The sequence below is a fragment of the Homo sapiens genome, chromosome 5 (genome assembly GCF_000001405.40).
Source record: "Homo sapiens chromosome 5, GRCh38.p14 Primary Assembly".
In the NCBI taxonomy this organism is placed as follows: Eukaryota; Metazoa; Chordata; class Mammalia; order Primates; family Hominidae; genus Homo; species Homo sapiens.
The window spans coordinates 61,901,004-61,919,763 of record NC_000005.10 but is presented as its reverse complement, the minus strand read 5'-3'; the positions used below and the strand labels follow the sequence as shown (position 1 = coordinate 61,919,763).

The 18,760-nt window shown below is 42.1% G+C and overlaps 1 long non-coding RNA gene across 1 annotated transcript; it reads left to right on the top strand.

The window, feature by feature from the left end:
• The first annotated feature begins 2,418 nt into the window (after positions 1-2,418).
• LOC105378998 (uncharacterized) lies at positions 2,419-17,147 on the top strand. Its single transcript, XR_948374.3, has 5 exons — positions 2,419-2,570; positions 3,475-3,531; positions 15,214-15,376; positions 16,588-16,786; positions 16,964-17,147. It is a non-coding gene; the product is annotated as an uncharacterized LOC105378998 (long non-coding RNA).
• The last annotated feature ends 1,613 nt before the right edge of the window (positions 17,148-18,760 follow it).

The window sequence follows — 18,760 nt, the reverse complement described above, 5'->3', positions numbered from 1 at the left end:
TATTTTGAATGATTTTAGATGGAAAGTTAGCCGAAGTACATTCTTCTTGTTTAAACACTCTCGGAACTAAGTTTATTTTTATAACAGTTCTGCCAAAATAATGGCCATAAAGGTCACAAAGCAGTATCTCCTAAGAAATACCTTGAAAAGGATTTACAATTCAATGCTCTTTCGTTAAAAGAAGCACCTTGAAGATAAGAAATTAATGAGATTTAGAATAATTTATTAAGGAACACCTAATAGACTCTCATGAGATTCAAATGTCAAGACGTTTAAAAAAACACAAAAGAAATTTAGCAAATGCAAATTATATTTGGGGGAAAAAAGACAAAGAGTATTTGAAAAATCTTATAAATGTTTATTTTTGCAGCACTGCAATTTAATCCTTGTATTTGAATACATACCCGCCAGACATTTCATATGTTTTTGATTCTAATGTTTGGAATCTCAGAAAGAACCAGTAATGATTTCTTGGTGTCTTATAAGGTGAGAGTTTACTTGCAGGCTGACAGGGAAGTAAAAGCCCAGATAAGACAAGCTCACAGAACTGAAAAGCTATGGAGAAAATTCATTGTTCTATTTATTTCCACTTTGTGATGAGTTGAGTTGAGAGCAAAATGTATTTATAACAATGGGACACTTGAAATGAACTGTTGCTGTAGCTGTCCAAGGCCAGCCAACATTCATATTGCCTCATAAATAGTCATCTTATAAAGTAGACCTGAGTGATAAACTAAAGAGGAATTATAGATCAGTGATCACTTAAAAGCAAGCACCAGGGAAATTGATAAATACTGCCTGCTGCCTGGCAAATAAAAAACACAGTCATCATTAGAGAAGGAGCTGGAACTTGCTGATTGCTGGGAAATTACAGCAATAGATAAATGAACAGACCTACTCACTCGGGGCAAAGGTGCCTTGTAGTTCAGGTAACAAAGTACTGTCAACATGGAAAGGTCCTTGAAGTAGGAGCTGAACCTGCTACCCTGAAAACAGAAGCCATATATACACACACAGTGTTGAAAAGCTGGCAGCCCTGAGTCCGTTTGCTCAGCCAGAGTGCTGAATGTATTATTACCACTGTCATCTTTGAAAGGGGAAAAAGAGATGTCCATAAAAATAAATATCTTTTCCACCATTGGAACTATTACATGATTGCAAAGAATTCATGTGATCACTTATATCTTATTATAAACCCAGTCCATTCTAGTCTATTATAGGAAACCAAGGTGATTATATTGGTTTAAAAATTGGTTCTGTTTCCCTATTTTTAAAATATGTTGTTTGAGGCCGGGCATGGTGGTTCATGCCTGTAATCCCAGCACTTTGGGAGGCCGAGGTGGGCAGAATGCCTGAGGTCAGGAGTTTGAGACCAGCCTGACCAACATGGAGAAGCCCTGTCTCTACTAAAAATACAAAATTAGCCAGACGTGGTGGCACATGCCTGTAATCCCAGCTACTTGGAAGGCTGAGGCAGGAGAATCTCTTGAACCCGGGAGGCAGAGGTTGTGGTGAGCCAAGATCATGCCATTGCACTCCAGCCTGGGCAACAAGAGCAAAACTCTGTCTCAAAAAATGTATATATTTGTTTGTTTGCCTATATGTTTATCAAAAGAAGCAAGCTACCTGTTATGGGCTAAGTTGATTGATGTCTGAGGGTTTTCTAGCTACACTTGGGCCTCTACAAAGGAAATTTCCACTGTTAAACTGGTGTAAATGCATCTAAGTAAATCCTTAGAAAGACAAGGGAAAAACATGGAGTGGCAAGGGCTGAATGCAGTGGAGGAGGCCTCTTCACCTTTGTGTTTCATGCCAATTTCATTCTGATTGGGGCAGAAAACCAGCTGAGGACTTAAAAGCCTGCTCATTTGTAATCATAACTTACCTGTAAGCAATGCATTTACAAGGCTAACTGACACACTCAGAACAGCACTGTGAAGTACATGTTACTTTCCCCTTTACAAAAGGAGGTGGAGGCTCAGAGAGATTTGGGTCTTGCTTGTGACACCAGAACTGAAGTCACCATTTTACCAGTTACCAACTCAGTTTTTCAGATTCTAGCTTCCAGTGTCCTCTCTCTATGTTTAGATATAGGTAAAACATTATTCCTCCCTAGTTTGATTCAAATAAAGACCTGTAAAAGAGAGTCAAGAACAGACATGTTATTCTTTCTATGACTGTCTTTATCACAGACATTCATCGTTCAAATAGGAGGAGTGCCCGCAAAATTGTGCCTGGGTTCTTCACTTCCTCCCACTGCCTACGCAGTAGTATTAGTCACATGGCCCTAGTCTGCACAGGTGCTAGGAAATGTTGAGGAGTTCATGAAATATTTGCTGAATGTTCCAGTCTCTGTTACTCATGGATTAGCTCATTTAATATGTAGCTAATAAAGTCTGAGCCCTCACTCCACAGGCCATTGGAATTTCATTCATCTACTGGATTCTCCTTGCCAAGTAATTTCTGGGAATTCCTCAGTCTTGCTCACATGTTGTACTACTCTCTCCTGGATGTCACTTGTCACCTCTACCAGCCCTCCTTTCTCCAGATGGCTTCTTCATAACCACCAGGTAAGCCAGCTCTTGCCAGCTCACACTTAACTTCTCTGAACTACATCAGCTCTCTACATTCCATCCTGCTTTATTCCAGTATGGACACATAGGTTTCCTTTAACCTTACAGAGCATGCGTAAGACCAGATAGCAGTATCTGAAAAATTTCTTCAGACAGCTTGGGGATACTGCAACACAGAAGAGGATAATTGACAGGTTAGCTCCACTCATGCTTCTAGGTCTTGCCCTTTAAGAGCTGGTTTCCTTCTGGCTCTGATCCTTGTCTTGGGCTCCTCAGCCTTTCCATGTCCCTCCTTCTCAAGAGGACAGATGGGCTCCTGGCACTCAAGAGATAAGAACTTCCCTCCCTCAGCCTTACAGCCATTTTCTTCAGGAGCAAACTACTCTTACTCACAGTGTGTGGTCTGGCTCTGTGAGCTCAGACAGGGCAATCAAAATTTGACAGTAGATTTCCCAAGGTCTAGGGTATACCACCTGAAATAACACCACATGTGGGTTTTCAGTCCAGGGCAGACTTTGGCATGTCCCATCTGGCTTCTTTTAGATCCCTACCCCAAGCTTATGGTAAAGATATATCACCCTGTCCATCCTCTCATCATCTGATTTTTGCTCCTGATCTTTGATGAGTAATTTTAAGATGGAACTTGTGTGTGTTTGTGTGCGTGTGTGCACGCATACATACATACATGCATTCCAAGAACAAAGAATGATGTGCAGAGACCACACATTAAAAAAAATCAAATTTAGGAAACAAAATCTTTTTAAGGGCACAATCTTGCTAAATATACGCCAATTTGTACTTGTAAACAAAATGTGTAATATGTCAGTTTGAGGCATTTCCATCTAGATTAATGGGTGACAATTTTCTTCAAAAATGGTGTGCATATTTGCTTTACTTTCAGGTCAGAAGAGGATCCGTTCCAATGATTTTCCTAAAACAATGGAAGTGTTTTCCAAAGGTAATTTGATGTCTTTACTGATAGAGATAGAAAATTGCTTGCACTTTTTAAAGAGCACCCCACACCTCACTAGTGTTGCAGGACTTTTCCTTAGTTCAGCTAAAGACGGGCTTCTTGTCTGTCCCATGGCCATGAAAATTTAGGCTCGCAGACAGTTTAAAGGGTAAATAAAGCAGGGTTTTATCGGGTGAAAATTGTTCGAATCCCAGGTTCCACACAGAAGGAGGAAGGGCGAGGCTCCTCCCCACTGCAAAGGGTGTGAACTTCCCAAGTCTCCTCCCCAGTGGGCAGGCTGGTTGGAGTTTCACCAGAGACCTTGTCCTACCTGGCTGTCTCATTCCCCTCTCTAAAGAAGTATATCTAACTGTCGTTAGGTTAAGCATAAGGACAAAGACCAATCTTAACTGCTTCCTGCTGACAGGGGGCACTGTTTTGGGGAACTGGCAGTCAGAGCTCCCTCAGAGGCCAATCTAAGGGTCGCCAGCAGAAGGGGTCATCATCAGAGGCTCTGATTGCATGACCATTTGGAGTTTGATGGCCTGAACTCAAGAACAGAAAAACTAGGTTATTAGAAAACATGTATCAAAACAAAACAAAGTGGGGGCGGGTAAGAACAACTGAAAAACTCTGAGGTCTTTTACCAGTTTGCATGGGGAAAGGGAGGGCAAAAGCCCAGCTGGTAAAAAAAAACTTCACCCTCTTGCCAGCATGTTGGGCTTCTGAGTTCCCTTCCCCTGCCTGAGCCCAATCCTAGGCCAACCAGTTTAAGGTTTGGGAAATTAACTCTTTCCAGTTTGCAGGATGCATCTGAGGGGAGTGTCCCATATTACAGAGACACAATTACCTGTCAGTGAAGAGAGGACAGAGGAGGAGAAAGGAAAAAAGAAGGCATTTTTTCAAGGGGGTCCCGGGGGTTCAGGATGCATTTGAAAGGGGTACAGACTGAAGATGAATGGCTACCCCTCTAGAAAGAGGGGACCAGGCACCCATGGTTCCTTTTTCTTCCTAGGAGATACCCGGGGTATATGAGGAAGAGAGAGAAGAGGGTCTTCTTTTCATCTTCAGTCCTTGCATCCCTGAGTTCTGGCGACCTTGGCAGAACTGGCCATAGGTGTTAAAGCGACTTGCACCCATGAAGCAGGGGGCCCTAGGGGGTAGGAATCATCCACTCTTACCCACGTATGCCCTATCTCCCCTGCTGTCAGTAGCCTTGAAGTTCCCTATACCTCATTTATGCCATGGATATTTATGTGGCCTTTCTCCATGAAACAGGAAGCTTGGGGTTGGCTTAATCGGGAGAAATCAGTCATGTTCACGTTCACTGTGCCTTTTAACTTCCATTATCATCTGTTTCTGGATCCCTCTGATCCAGTTTTATTTCCTAGGGCTTTGACTTGAAGCTTGGAATTGAGTTTGGGACAAAAATGTATCTTGCGGAGGGAGTTGCATGGACTTCTTATCATAAGCCAAATGCTAAGGTGAAACTGTGGAACTGAGTGCTCCAGCAAGGGAGAGGAAAGGACATCTTGTGACACATCCAGATAACTGATAGCTATTGTTATGCTTGCTAGGATTTGGGTCCATGGTGCTTGGCTTTGGTTAGTTCCCTTGTTTTTACTTTCCCCAAAAGGAAACCTCCGATGATGGGCACCCTATTTATACCCTATTTATTCTATCACCTGGCAGGATTTGCAGGATAATTGCTCAAAACTAGAATATTGATCCAAATTTCTACATCACCCATCCCTTTTGTTCTTTCTGAGCTGCAGCCAGGGACTGCCAGTTGGTTCACCGGAACAAGTAGGGTTAGTCTAAAATGTAGGTGAAAACTTAAAAACAACTAGTGAGTTTAGAATTTAATGACAAATATAAGTTTTGAAACATGATTTCTCACTCTCCAGTCCTCGTTTGTTAAAAAATAAATCATCATAGGACTGGTAGTTTGCAAAATAGACTTTAGTTTTATGCTTGGCCTGACTCTTTGCATACAGTACAAATAGCAAGAATAATTATTTCTACATAGGCCTTTTGGATTGGCTTTTAAGGAATTCAGTTCCACAAGGAATTTCAAATAAGACCTTTTAAAGCCAAGCCTAACCATGGGTTTGTATCCTCAAACACCTGTGAGTTGGATGATCTTTTCTTCTTAAGGTCCCATAATAAACTTGGAGCTCCTGGACCTGTTAGAAAGTGACATTCTTTACTGACCACGGGTCAGGAACCCTGTACGGGGACTGCATAGACAAGGGTATGAGGCCAGTTTCCCCACTGGGCTTCTATCAGCTCTGTAAGTCAAGCTTGACTCCTTAAAGGGAAGCATATCCTTCCAGTCAAAGCCTTGGTAAAATAACCACTTTCTCCAATTGTATCCTGTTGCAAAAGAAAAATGGATGCTTATTGCACTGATACAAACAACTGTATCACCATAAAGTTAAGAATACTTACAGACAGTTTCCAAATTATAGAGGAACGAGGCAGAGAGAAACAAACATGCTCCAAATTTTGATCCCAGGAGTATACCTTAATACCTTAATTATTAAATGCCATAAATAGTTCAAAATAAATTTCCTTGACTCTGAAAAACAAAACAAGGATCAGCAATATTCCAAGCAAAGGTCACAAAGATTTGCTTCAGCTTCCTGAGTTCAGTCCATTTAGTTAACTCTTGTTTTGCTTGATATTCGTGAATATTTCAGCTCTTTATGAGTACTGTACATTTTCCTTTATTCCAATGTCACAATTTTTAAGGTTATAAGAACTTATTTGAATTGTATCATGGCTAATTTTTAAAGTTATCAGAACTGTATTTGAGAGCACCTGCTAAAGTTCTATAGCTCATTATAAACCATCTTTGAAAGGGATTAAAACGAGACAACAGTTGCTTGTGAATAGCAAAATGTCCAAGGTAGTTACAGTTAGAAACACGATTGACAAAGAAGTTTGGTTATCTCCATAGTTTACAATAACTTAACATAAAAACCTTGATTATGATTGATAGCATACACTCAGACATTCGAATTTTAGAAAATCTCATGCAATTTTGGAACATATATTAATATTATTCACAAAAATATAGCCTAAGAAGATGGAGCATCATTTTAGCAATCCCATGTACCTAAACACGTCAACTAATCCTGTTTACGTCTGTTTTCTGGACACTTCAGGGGACCTCTGAAGTATTCAAAAAGCCAGGTGCCAGGGTGATGGCCCACTGTGAGTGAGCTGGAAATGTCTGATCTTCCTTGGTTTAATGTAGAGGAAGAGATCCAAAGGCTTAGGGAGATTGGGATGGTAGAGTGGATTAGTCACTTTAGACCTACTCATCCCAGCTGGGAGTGTTCAGAAGATATACCCTTAACCAATGCCTTGTGAAAGATTTGTGAGGGCAGCACCTGCATCTTTGGAGAGCCCTGTAATTGCTGTTCTCTGTATGTCAGATCGAACAGTGGGAACCGCAGTCACTCAACTACAAGACAACGGGAATAATTGGATCTTGAGGTGGCAGGGGCCAAGTGACAGCACTCAACCGTCAAAGGCAAGGTGGTCGTAGCTACTGTAATGGACAGCAGAGACAAAGCAGCAATCAGAATAGTCTAACTTGTGTAGAGCTGTGGCATTGGCTAATTAATCACAGCGTTCCTGGAAGTAAAATTGATAGGAAGCCTACTGCATTCCTATTTAATTTATATAAGGATAAAACTTCTAGGTCGAATGGACAAAAGACTAATTTGAAATACAAAAACAGAGAATCACGGCCTGTCAGTCAATTTCCAGACTTGAGCCAGTCTACGTGCCCAGAACCCCTTGAATGAAGGGGAAGCCGGGTTCCCTTGAGGAAGGACCCCACTACATTACCGACAATTTACGTGGTGAATCTCTCTCCCATCCTTCCCGAAGGAGACCTCTGGCCTTTTACCAGGGTCACTGTGCTTTAGGGAAAGGGAAATTATCAGACATTTTGGGGACTACTGAACACTGGCTCTGAGCAGATGTCAATCCAGGAGGCACAAAAAGTCATTGTGGTTTTCCAGTTAAAGTAGGGGCTTATGGAGGTCAGGTAATTGATGGAGGTTTAGCTCAGGTCTGACTTACAGTGGGTCCAGTGGGTCCCTGGACTTATCCTATGGTCACTTCCCTAGTGCCAGAATACATAATTGGCATAAACATACTTAGCAGCTGGCAGAACCCCCACACTGGCTTCCTGACTGTCAGGGTAAGGGCTACTAAGGTGGTAAAGGCCAAAGGGAAGCGATTAGAGCTGCCTGTACCTAGAAAAATAGTAAATCAAAAACAATATTGCATTCCTGGAGGGATTGTGGAGATTAGTGCCACCATCAAGGACTTGAAAGACTCAGGGGTGGTGATTCCCACCACATCCCTATTGAACGTTCCCATTTGGCCTGTGCATAAGAGAGATGGAAGTCAGAGAATGGCAGTGGATTCTTGTAAGCTTAACTAAGTGGTGAATCCAATTGCAGCTGCTTTACCAGATGTGGTTTCATTGTTTGAGCAAATTAACACATCTTCTGGTACCTAGTATGCAGTCATTGACTTGGCGAATGTCTTTTTCTCAATACCTGTCCATAAGGCCCACCAGAAGCAATTTGTCTTCACCTGGCAAGGCCAGCAATATACCTTTAATGTCCTACCCCAGGGGCATATCAACTCTCCGGCTTTGTGTCATAATATTATTCGGAGAGACCTTGATCGCTTTTTGCTTCTGCAAGATATCATACTGGCTCATTGCATTGATGACATTATGCTGATTGGATCCAGTGAGCAAGAAGTAGCAAACACACTGGATTTATTGGTGAGACATTTGTGTGCCAGAGGATGGGAAATAAATCCTACTAAAATTCAGGGACCTCCTACCTCCGTAAAACTTCTAGGGGCCCAGTGGTGTGGGGCCTGTCGAGACATTCCTTCTAAGGTGAAGGATAAGTTGTTGCACTTGGCCCCTCCTACAACCAAGAAGGAGGCACAATGCCTAGTGGGCTTGTTTGGATTTTGGAGGCAACACATTCTTCATTTGGGTGTGTTACTCTGGCCCATTTATCCAGTGACCCAAAAGGCTGCCAGTTTTGAGTGGGGTCCAGAATAAGAGAAGGCTCTGCAACAGGTCCAGGCTGCCGTGCAAACTGCTCTGCCACTTGGGCCATATGACCCAGCAGATCCAATGCTGCTTGAGGTGTCAAGTGGCAGATAGGGATGCTGTTTGGAGTCTTTGGCAGACCGCCATAGGTGAATCACAGCAGAGGCCTCTAAGATTTTGGGGCAAGGCCCTGCTATCTTCTGCAGATAACTACTCTCCTTTTGAGAGACAGCCCTTGGACTCTTATGGGGGTTTGACTATGAGTCATCAAGTTATGGGGGTTTGACTATGAGTCATCAAGTCACCATGGAACCTGAATTGCTTATCATGAACTGGGTGCTTTCTGACCCATCTAGCCATAAAGTGGGTCATGCACAGCAGCATTCCATCATCAAATGGAAGTGGTATATACATGACCAGGCTTGAGCAGGTTGTGAAGGCACAAGTAAGTTACATGAGGAAATGGCTCAAATGCCCATGGTCTCCACTCCTGCCACCCTGCCTTCCCTCCTCCAGTCTGCACCAATGGCCTCGTGGGGAGTTCCCTATGATCAGCTGACAGAGGAAGAGAAGACTAGGGCCTGGTTCACAGGTGATTCTGCATGATATGCAAGCACTACCCGAAAGTGGACGGCTGCAGTACTACAGCCCCTTTCTAGGACATCCCTGAAGGACAGTGGTGAAGGGAAATGTTCCCAGTGGGCAGAACTTCAAGCAGTGCACCTGGCTGTGCACTTTGCAAGGAAGGAGAAATGGCCAGATGTGTGATTATAAACTGATTCATGGGTTGTAGCCAGTGGTTTGGCTGGATGGTCAGGGACTTGGTAGAAGCATGATTGGAAAATTGGTGACACAGAAATTTGGGGAAGAGGTTTGTGGATGGACCTCTCTGAGTGGCCAAAAACTGTGAAGATATTTGTATCCCATGTGAGTGCTCACCAATGGGTGACCTCAGCAGAGGAAGATTTTAATAATCAAGTCGATAGGATGACCTGTTCTGTGGACACCACTCAGCCTCTTTCCCCAGCCACCCCGTCGTTGCCCAATGGGCCCATGAACAAAGTGGCCATGGTGGCAGGGGCAGAGGTTATGCCTGGGCTCAGCAACATGGACTTCCACTTACCAAGGCTGACCTGGCTATGGCCACTGCTGAGTGCCCAATTTTCCAGTAGCAGAGACCAACACTGAGCCCTCGATATGGCAGCATTCCTTGGGGTGATCAGCTACCTGGTGGCAGGTTGATTATATTGGACCTCTTCCATCAATGAAAGGGCAGAGGTTTGTCCTCACTGGAATAGACACTTATTCCAGATATGGGTTTGCCTATCCAGCACACAATGTTTCTGCCAAAACTACCATTAGTGGACTTACAGAATGCCTTATCCACCATCATAGTATTCCACACAGCATTGCCTCTGACCAAGACACTCACTTTACGGCTAAAGAATTTGCGGCAGTGGGCTCATGCTCATGGAATTCACTGGTGTTGCCATGTTCCTCATCATCCTGAAGCAGCTGGATTAATAGAACAGTGGAATGGCCTTTTGGAGTCACAATTACAATGCCAGCTAGGTGACAATACTTTGCAGGGCTGGGGCAGAGTTCTCCTGAAGGCCGTGTATGCTCTGAATCAGCGTCCAATATATGGTACTCTTTCTCCCATAGCCAGGATTCACGGGTCCAGGAATCAAGGGGTGGAAGTGGAAGTGGCATCACTCACCATCACCCCTAGTGATCCACTAGCAAAATTTTGCTTCCTGTTTCTGTGACATTGCGTTCTGCTGGCCTAGAGGTCTTAGTTCCAGAGGGAGGAACACTGCCACCAGGAGACACAACAATTCCATTAAACTGGAAGTTAAGATTGCCACCTGGACACTTTGGGCTCCTCTTACCTTTAAGTCAACAGGCTAAGAAGGGAGTTACAGTGTTGGCTGGAGTGATTGACCCAACTATCAAGGTGAAATCAGTCTACTACTCCGCGACAGAGGTAAGGAAGAGCAGGCATGGAATACAGGAGATCCATTGGGGTGTCTCTTAGTATTACCATGTCCTGTGATTAAGGTCAATAGGAAACTACAACAGCCCAATCCAGGCAGGACTACAAATGGTCCAGACCCCACAGGAATGAAGGTTTGGGTCACTCCACCAGGAATAAAACCATGACCTGCTGAGGTGCTTGCCTAAGGCAAAGGATATACAGAATGGGTAGTAGAAGAAGGTAGTCATCAATACCAGCTACTACCACGTGACCAGCTGCAGAAACGAGGACTGTAACTGTCATGAGTATTTCCTTCTACTTTTGTTAAAAACATGTTTGTGTACGTATACACTTGTACTAAGAAAATATCTTCATTTTATTTCACTTTCCTTTATTATGTGGCATAAGATTTATTGACTTCATATCAGCTTTTAAGTATTATTAACTTTATGTAATAGTATTTGGGTTGGGGATTGGTGTGTTTCCAGTTGTACCAAGGAGAGTTATATTATGTTAGGCATAATTATGACCTCATTATTGTCTTTATTTGAAGATTATGTATGATCTCAGGAGTTGTATATGGGTTCAAGTTGACAAGGGGTGGACTTGTGATAGCTAATACTGAGCGTCAACTTGATTGGAGGATGCAAAGTATTGTTCCTGGGTATGTCTGTGAGGATGTTGTCAAAGGAGATTAACATTTGAGTCAGTGGGCTTGGGAAGGGAGACCCATCCTTAATCTGGTGGGCACAATCTATTCAGCTGCCAGCGAATATAAAGCAGGCAGAAAAACCTGAAGAGGCGAGACTTGCCTAGCCTCCCAGCTTACGTCTTTCTCCCATGCTGGATGCTCCCTGCCCTCAAACATGGGACTCCACATTCATCAGTTTTGAGACTCAGACTGGCTCTTCTTGCTCCTCAAGCTTGCAGACAGCCTACTGTGGGACCTTGTGATCATATAAGTTAATAGTTAATAAACTATTAATTAGTATTAATTAATTAAATAAATATTATTAGTATTATTAATATTAATTAATTAATTAAAACTATACATTAATAAACATATATATGTGTCCTAGTAGTTCTGTCCCTCTAGGGAACCCTAATACACACGGTATATATATATATATATATGTGTGTGTGTGTGTGTGTGTATGTATGTATGTGTTTATATATATATATATATATATATATATATATATATATATATATACATACACTACATTTTGTTTATCCAGTCTTCTGTTGATGAACACTTAGGTTGATTTTGTGATTTTGCTATTGTGAATAATGCTGCAATAAACATATGTGTGCAGGTGTCTTTTTGATATAACAATTTCTTTTCTTTTGGGTAGATACCCAGTGGTAGGATTGCTGGGTTGAATGGTAGTCCTATTTTTAGTTCTTTGAGAAATCCAGGAAGGGTTTATTAATTGGATTATATACAGTTTGTTTAAGCATAAATATTTTTATTGTAAACTGAAACAATATGCAGTATGGAGTAGAATTACGTTTGAGTTGTAGCTCAATCACTGACTAATATATTACCTTTAACAAGTTCTTGGGTTCCCTGCCTTGGTTTTCTCATTTGTAAAATGAAAATAATTATGCTGATTTCCTAGATAGGTTAGGAGAATTAAATGAGATACTGAATGAATGTAAAAGTATTCAATAAGTGTAATTATTATTATTATCCCTCATCCCTATTCACTGGTGAACGAACCATACTGTTTTTTATTTCTGTGCTTTTGCATTTTGCTTAGAATGTTTCCTGCTTTCTTCCATCAGCCTGGTGAAATCCTGCTCACCCTGCAAGATCTATGTAGAGTGACTTTCTCTGTTCCTTGTCTGTTTCCCATGCCCTCAAACACTCTTATTATAGATGAAGCAAGCCTTTGCCATCTCCAGGCTCTCCATTGCCTTTGACTCCACTTCTGCCTGCTGATCTGCATTGCCTACCTCTGATGTCAATCCGTGTTGGTCCCCACCTGAAAGGCCACTTTCTTGTACTAAAGAGGATGTACTAGCCTGGATACCTCAAGTCTTTCTGTCTGTAATTCTCAAAATTCAGTCTTGGAATAAATAGTTCCCTTTTGAACTATGCAGACCGCATCATTTGCATTTCTTTTCTAGCTTTTGCTGTTCCTATTGGCGACTGCACAATTCTTAGCAACACTGAAGTGCTGGAGGTGAAGCTCTCCGTGTGTTGTCTTCAGATGACGAATGTATTCTTCTGATGACTTGGGACAAATTCTCCCTCCAAAATGCCACTGTCTGTGAATACACCCTCCTGTAAAACTCTGGCCATAGTACAGGGTGAAAGGTTTTATGGACAAAAAACAATGTTGCAGATTACTCTCTTCTAGATTACTCAAAAGTCCTCTCCTCTATGGCAGCTTCCTATAATCCAATCACAGTCCTTTCTGAGTCTTCCCACCTCACCTGGCTTCTGCAGCTGGAGTTAAACATGATTTGCTCTTTGCTTTCTTAGGCTTTTGTTACTGAATTATTTTATGTTATCTTTTAGATGTTGATGGTCACTTGCACGTGCCATAGCGGAGGTCTAATGGTCTCAAGGAGGATTTTAACTTTGTATTTTGGGTAATGTCTTTGTGTTTTCCTTCTTCTGATACATTCTGCTTTTTAAATCTATTTAAACTATAAGAATAAAAGCCTGCTGTATTTATACCATCTGACTTTCTCCGTCCATCCTTCCCATTTGGGACAAAACTAAATGTGAATTTTTTTTTCTGACTTCCTGGCCCCAGAAGCTGGAGTGCAGATGTGCAGGAGGTGGGTTGGTGGGGGCGGTGCGGGGCGGGCAGAGGGTTAAATCCTGGGGATTAACAATTCTCACCTTTCAAATGACTGCAGCTCTTGAGTGACTTTCTTGGGAGCTACAGGTTACAGAAAAAAAGTTCTGCAGAGAATGGGTTTTAGATGTTACCATTTGGTTGATTATTTCAAAATACTGCCATTGAGAGATCATTGCATAGAAACTGTTGAGAGAAATGAATGGATGGTTCAATGGATAGCTAGATAGACAGATAGCTAGGTAGACTGATAGGAGAAATTTTGGACACATAAAATAGAATGTATTTCTGAGACTAAACACTTTGCTATTTAGATGTGCTGATTTCCTAATGAGGTCATTTTTATATTCTACAAACCCAGAAGATTCAGAAAGACTCCTTGCTGCTTATGAGGCAGTGTCCAGAATGCACAGCACAGTTTCTGGAACATAGCAGAAGCACAGTAAACATTTATCAAGGGAACTAATGCTCTATTTGGCCTGCTCAAGCTAGAGCCAGCTCCTCTGTGCTCTGTACTTGTCAACAGACTTTCCAGCCATAGAGGCAAACCAGAGCAGACTGATGGATTTCACCCAAAGTTGTTAATCCGTTAACAATTGGCTGTAAAAGTATGCGTATGGAAACAAATGGGGAAACTAAAAACCAGATTTGCAGTTGCAGTGTAAAAATATAATTGCCATGCGTTAGCAAAAAGAAAGGCCCCTCACAGATTGCAAATGTTATTTTAATACATAAGGAAATTGTACTGGATTTAATGAATTTGCTTTGACCATCAGCAAAATGGCATTTCAGATTTCAAGCACAAAACTTTTTTTTGTTATTTTTTTTCTCATTCCATCATTTGAAAAAAATGGGCTCCTGACAAATTGATCAGGCAGTTGTGCCACAAGGTATGTGACCTTGGGTAATTCACTTAACTCTCTGAGTCTTGATTTCCTCATTGGTAAAATGGGTGTAAAAATCTATATTTGTCAGATGATTGGATGAGATGATGCATACAAAATATCTAGCAGAGTGCCTGGAACACAGAATAGGTACTTAACAAACAGCAGAATCTGCTGGCACAGCTGCTGCTACTGCTGGGTATTGGGTGGGCTTAAGCCAGCTGCATTAGTCAGGGTTCCCCAGAGAAATGGAACCAATAGAGTGTATGTGTATGTGCATGTACACGTGTGTGTGCGTGTGTGTGTGTGTGTGGAGAGGGAGTGAGAGAGGGAGATTTATTTTAAGAAATTGGCTCATACAATTATGGAGGCTACTAAATGCAAAATCTGCAGGGTTGGTCAGCAGGCTGGAGACCCAGGGACAGGCCAATGTTGCAGTTCAAGTCTGAAGGCCATCTGTGTAATTCACTCTTGCTTGGGGAAGATCAGTCTTTTTGTTCTATTCAGGCCTTCAACTGATTGGATGAGGCCCACCAACATTTTGAAGGCAATCTACTGTACTCAAAATCTACTGATTTAAATGCTGATCTCATCCAAACAATCTCTCACGGAAACATCTCCAACAGTGTTTTACAACATATCTAGGCACCATGGCCCAGCCAAGTTGACACATAAAATTAACCACTCAACCCCTATTTTCTTTATTACCCAATCCTGAATCAGATGACAATAGCCTCCCGACAAGCCTCTCTGCTTCTACTCTTGTTTCCTCTCAATGCATTTATAAGCAGTAGCAAGAATAATCATAAAACAAAACCCCAATTCTTTCTCTTATGCTTAAATCTTTTGATGATCTCTCATTGCACTTGGAATAAATGCCATTTTTGTTTGTTTGTTTGTTTTTGTTTTAATCAGAGCTTATAAGGCATTGTAGGATCTGGCCTGCCCTGACTCCACTTTACCAGAACCATCTGCTGCTCTTCTCTCTTGTGTTACTCAAGGTATTAGCTGCTGTGGCAAATCAACTCTGAAATCTCCGTGACTTAATACAAGAGAGGTTTATTTCTTACTCACGCTGGTAGGTAGTTTCTGACATGGCTCCCAAAGATCCTTGTCTTCTGGTATTCATGTCCTTGTGTAACCCCTTCACCTTTGATGGGGACTGGATCAAGTGACTTGCTTCTAACAAATAGAATATGTAACAGTGATGGTATGTCACTGTGACTCCATCCTGCTAGCCTCTCTCTTGTTCTTCATGTGTGCTGTTTCTGGTGAAGCAAGCTGGAAAGGCCAATATGGCAAGAAACTAAGGGCAGAACCTGGCCAACCAGCAGCAAGGAATTGAGGCTGTAAGTCCAATAGTCCTTGAGGAACTGAATTCTGCTGACAACCACATGTGTGGGCTTCGAAGCAGATTCTTCCCCAGTCAAAAACTTTGATGAAATGAGTCCAGGGGTTCCAGACCAGCCTGGGCAACATAGTGAGGCCCCACGTGTACAAAAAATAAAAATTTTCTGGAAGTGGTGGCACATGCCTGTACTCCTAGCTACTCAGGAAGCTGAAGTGGGAGGATGGCTTGGGCCCAGAAAGTCGAGGCTGCAGCGAGCCTTGTTTGTGCCACTGCTGTCCAGGCTGGGCCACAGAGTGGCCAAAAGAAAAGAAAAAGAAAAAAAGGAAAAGAAAATCTTCAAGTTTCTGGAGAAGTGATCCTATGTAATATTTCCTCTTGAAGGGTACACCTTGTGGAGAGATCTGTGCCATATCCTCCTGTTAAATAAGACACCTTGGAGGATGCTTGGCAGAATCCTGGTTTGAGAACATCTTTTTGGAAGCCAGAATTGTGATTTAAAGTTAAAGGAAAGAAACAGTGCTTCTCCAACTTCAGTTCCAGGAAAGCATTTGTCTTCATAACCCTCATCCAGACTAACAGTTTGTGCTTAGGAAAGACAGATGTGTCCTGCAGGTCTTTCTACCCTCACATGACGAAGCCAGCAGTGCATCATACCCGGCTTGTGAACAAACAGAGAATAGCAGCTTCCATTTCACAAATACATCCATTCACTCTGAGGATTTTTTTCCTCTGGCTGAGGGAGCAAAATGCCCATTATAGTGTATTCTCCCTGTCCCCAGGCTTTAATATATCTTAGAGCAGCTCTCCTCAGCATTCCACATTATAAAATCAATCCCTATTTAAGTAAGAGGGGGATATTTATTTCTTAATTTTTTAATAATGCATTTTGTGATTTGTTATAGCTTCAGTGTTGTATTATTTATTTATTGTGCCTATAGGGTGCACTGCCACTTGGTAACAGAGGAGCTATGGAAACTTGAGACCTAAGCAGAAATGAGTTCAATAATATTGCTACACTCTAGGACTTTCTCCAAAATTAACAACAGAACAAAAGTGCAAGGCAGTGATAACCCATCTGACAGCATTTGGGGAGTGTTTGTGAAAGCAATGGTGATGGAGGTTTTAAAAGAATGTCAGGTAAGGGGAAGTGACAAATGGATGAGCTATTTTAAAATTCAGAACGATTTCATAAGCCTCATAAAACTGGATATGCTATGTTATTGGGGGGAAGAGTGTTTATTTCATGTTTTACTAAGGAAAAAACTGTTCAAGAACCTTATAGAACTTAAATATGTTTTCCCTCTCTTCTTGCAGATCATATAAGCAAGAATGTTGATGAACATAGCTTGGGACCAAGACGGCTTCATTTTGATCCCAAGGCCTGCTGACAATGTGCTGAAAGGAAAGAGGATCTTCAATTTTTTTAAAAACAGGAATGATTTGGTGTGTTCGTTCTTAACAATTGTTAAACAACATAAAATGTGATTCTTATACTTAATTTTTGTCTCTCAAAGTTAAAGTAATAGGAGGTAACCACACAGTTGGAAATTTGCTGATATACATACAAATGATGTCATAAAAATTGGGGATGTTTAGATAAAAATCAGGGTTAGACTGACGTGTTTAACTCCAAAGCTTTCTACACCTGGAAGACATTACTCAAGCCCTGTTACAGTGCTATGATACTAATTAGTGCCAATACCCTCCAATAATTTTGAATTCTTTAACTCTCTCATTAATCCTGATGTACATTTCAGGAAAATGAATTCATGCTGATTTGACATCAAGCAATAAATAAAGGCAGTGAAGGACACTTGCCCTTGGTGGAAAGATGGCATCTTAGCCAGGCAGCCAGCCGGTCTGTCAACAGCATTTATTGAGTGTCTAATGAGAGAAAGGCCACGAGACAAAGAGGAGACATGGGCTCTGGCCTTGGGGAGCAGCCAGGGCAATGACAGAGGCAGAGAAAAGAGTGGAGATGTGTCTGCCAAATATTGGAGAAGCAGCACATCAGTGAGGGCAACCTGGAGGAGGGGGCGCCTCCCGTTTGCTGGTCACCTTGCGCATGGCAGCCTATGCTAATGGCCTTTTTATTGGTGAACCTATCAGATACTCAAGCAATGCTGTGAGGGAAATGGTGCCAACTTCTCCATGCCTCAGTTTCTCAGCTGTAAAATGAACTCCACTGAGTGGCTGGGGAGTGGCAAAGCCAGTGTCTGTGCAACTCCTTCCACAGACAGAGGGCTGTCTGTGGTCAGAGGGCACTGAACACTGGCAGGGGCGAGGAAATGAGAAGAGGGGTGCTTCAGCTACAGCTGTCTAAGACTCCCCCACCTTTCAGGCCCATTAAGAAAATGTAAGATTTCAAATGAGGGGAAAAACTATGAAATTCTCATTTTAGGATTTGGCTAAGGAGATTACAAAAGAATCACAATACACACATTTGGCTTTAGCACATGTTCAGTTCTGTCACATTTGTATGCTTTATGCTGGTAGAAGGAAATGTATAGCTGGATGCCTGTGTGATCTAGTAGCTTTTCAATAGCATGGCAGGGCGGAGCCCGCTGATTCTCCATCGTGTTTCTCTCTAGGTGCACAGCAGTGCAACGTAGGGGTGCCTCCCTAATGGGTTGCAAATCTTCATTTATTTCTGTTGTGTTCTGGGGATGAAACCAATGAAGAGAAGGTGGAGGAAACCCACTCCCCATTTCCCTGATGCAGAGAAGGTTCTTCCTTTATACTCTCATCAACCCCATTCTTGGGCCCTATATTAATCCATTCTTGCACTGCTATAAAGAAATACCTGAAATGGGGTAATTTATAAAGAAAAGAGGTTTAATTGGCTCACGGTTCTAAAGGCTGTACAGGAAGCACAGTGGCTTCTGCTTCTGGGGAAGCCTCAGGAAATTTACAATCATGGCAGAGGTGAAGGAGAAACAGGCACGTCTTATATGGCCAAAGCAGGAACAAGAGTGTGGTGGGGGTGGGGGTGCTAAACACTTTTAAAGGAACAGATCTTGTGATAACTCACTCTTGCCATGACAATACCAAGGGGGATGGTGTTAAACCATGAGAAACTGCCCCCATGATCCAATCACTTCCCACCAGGCC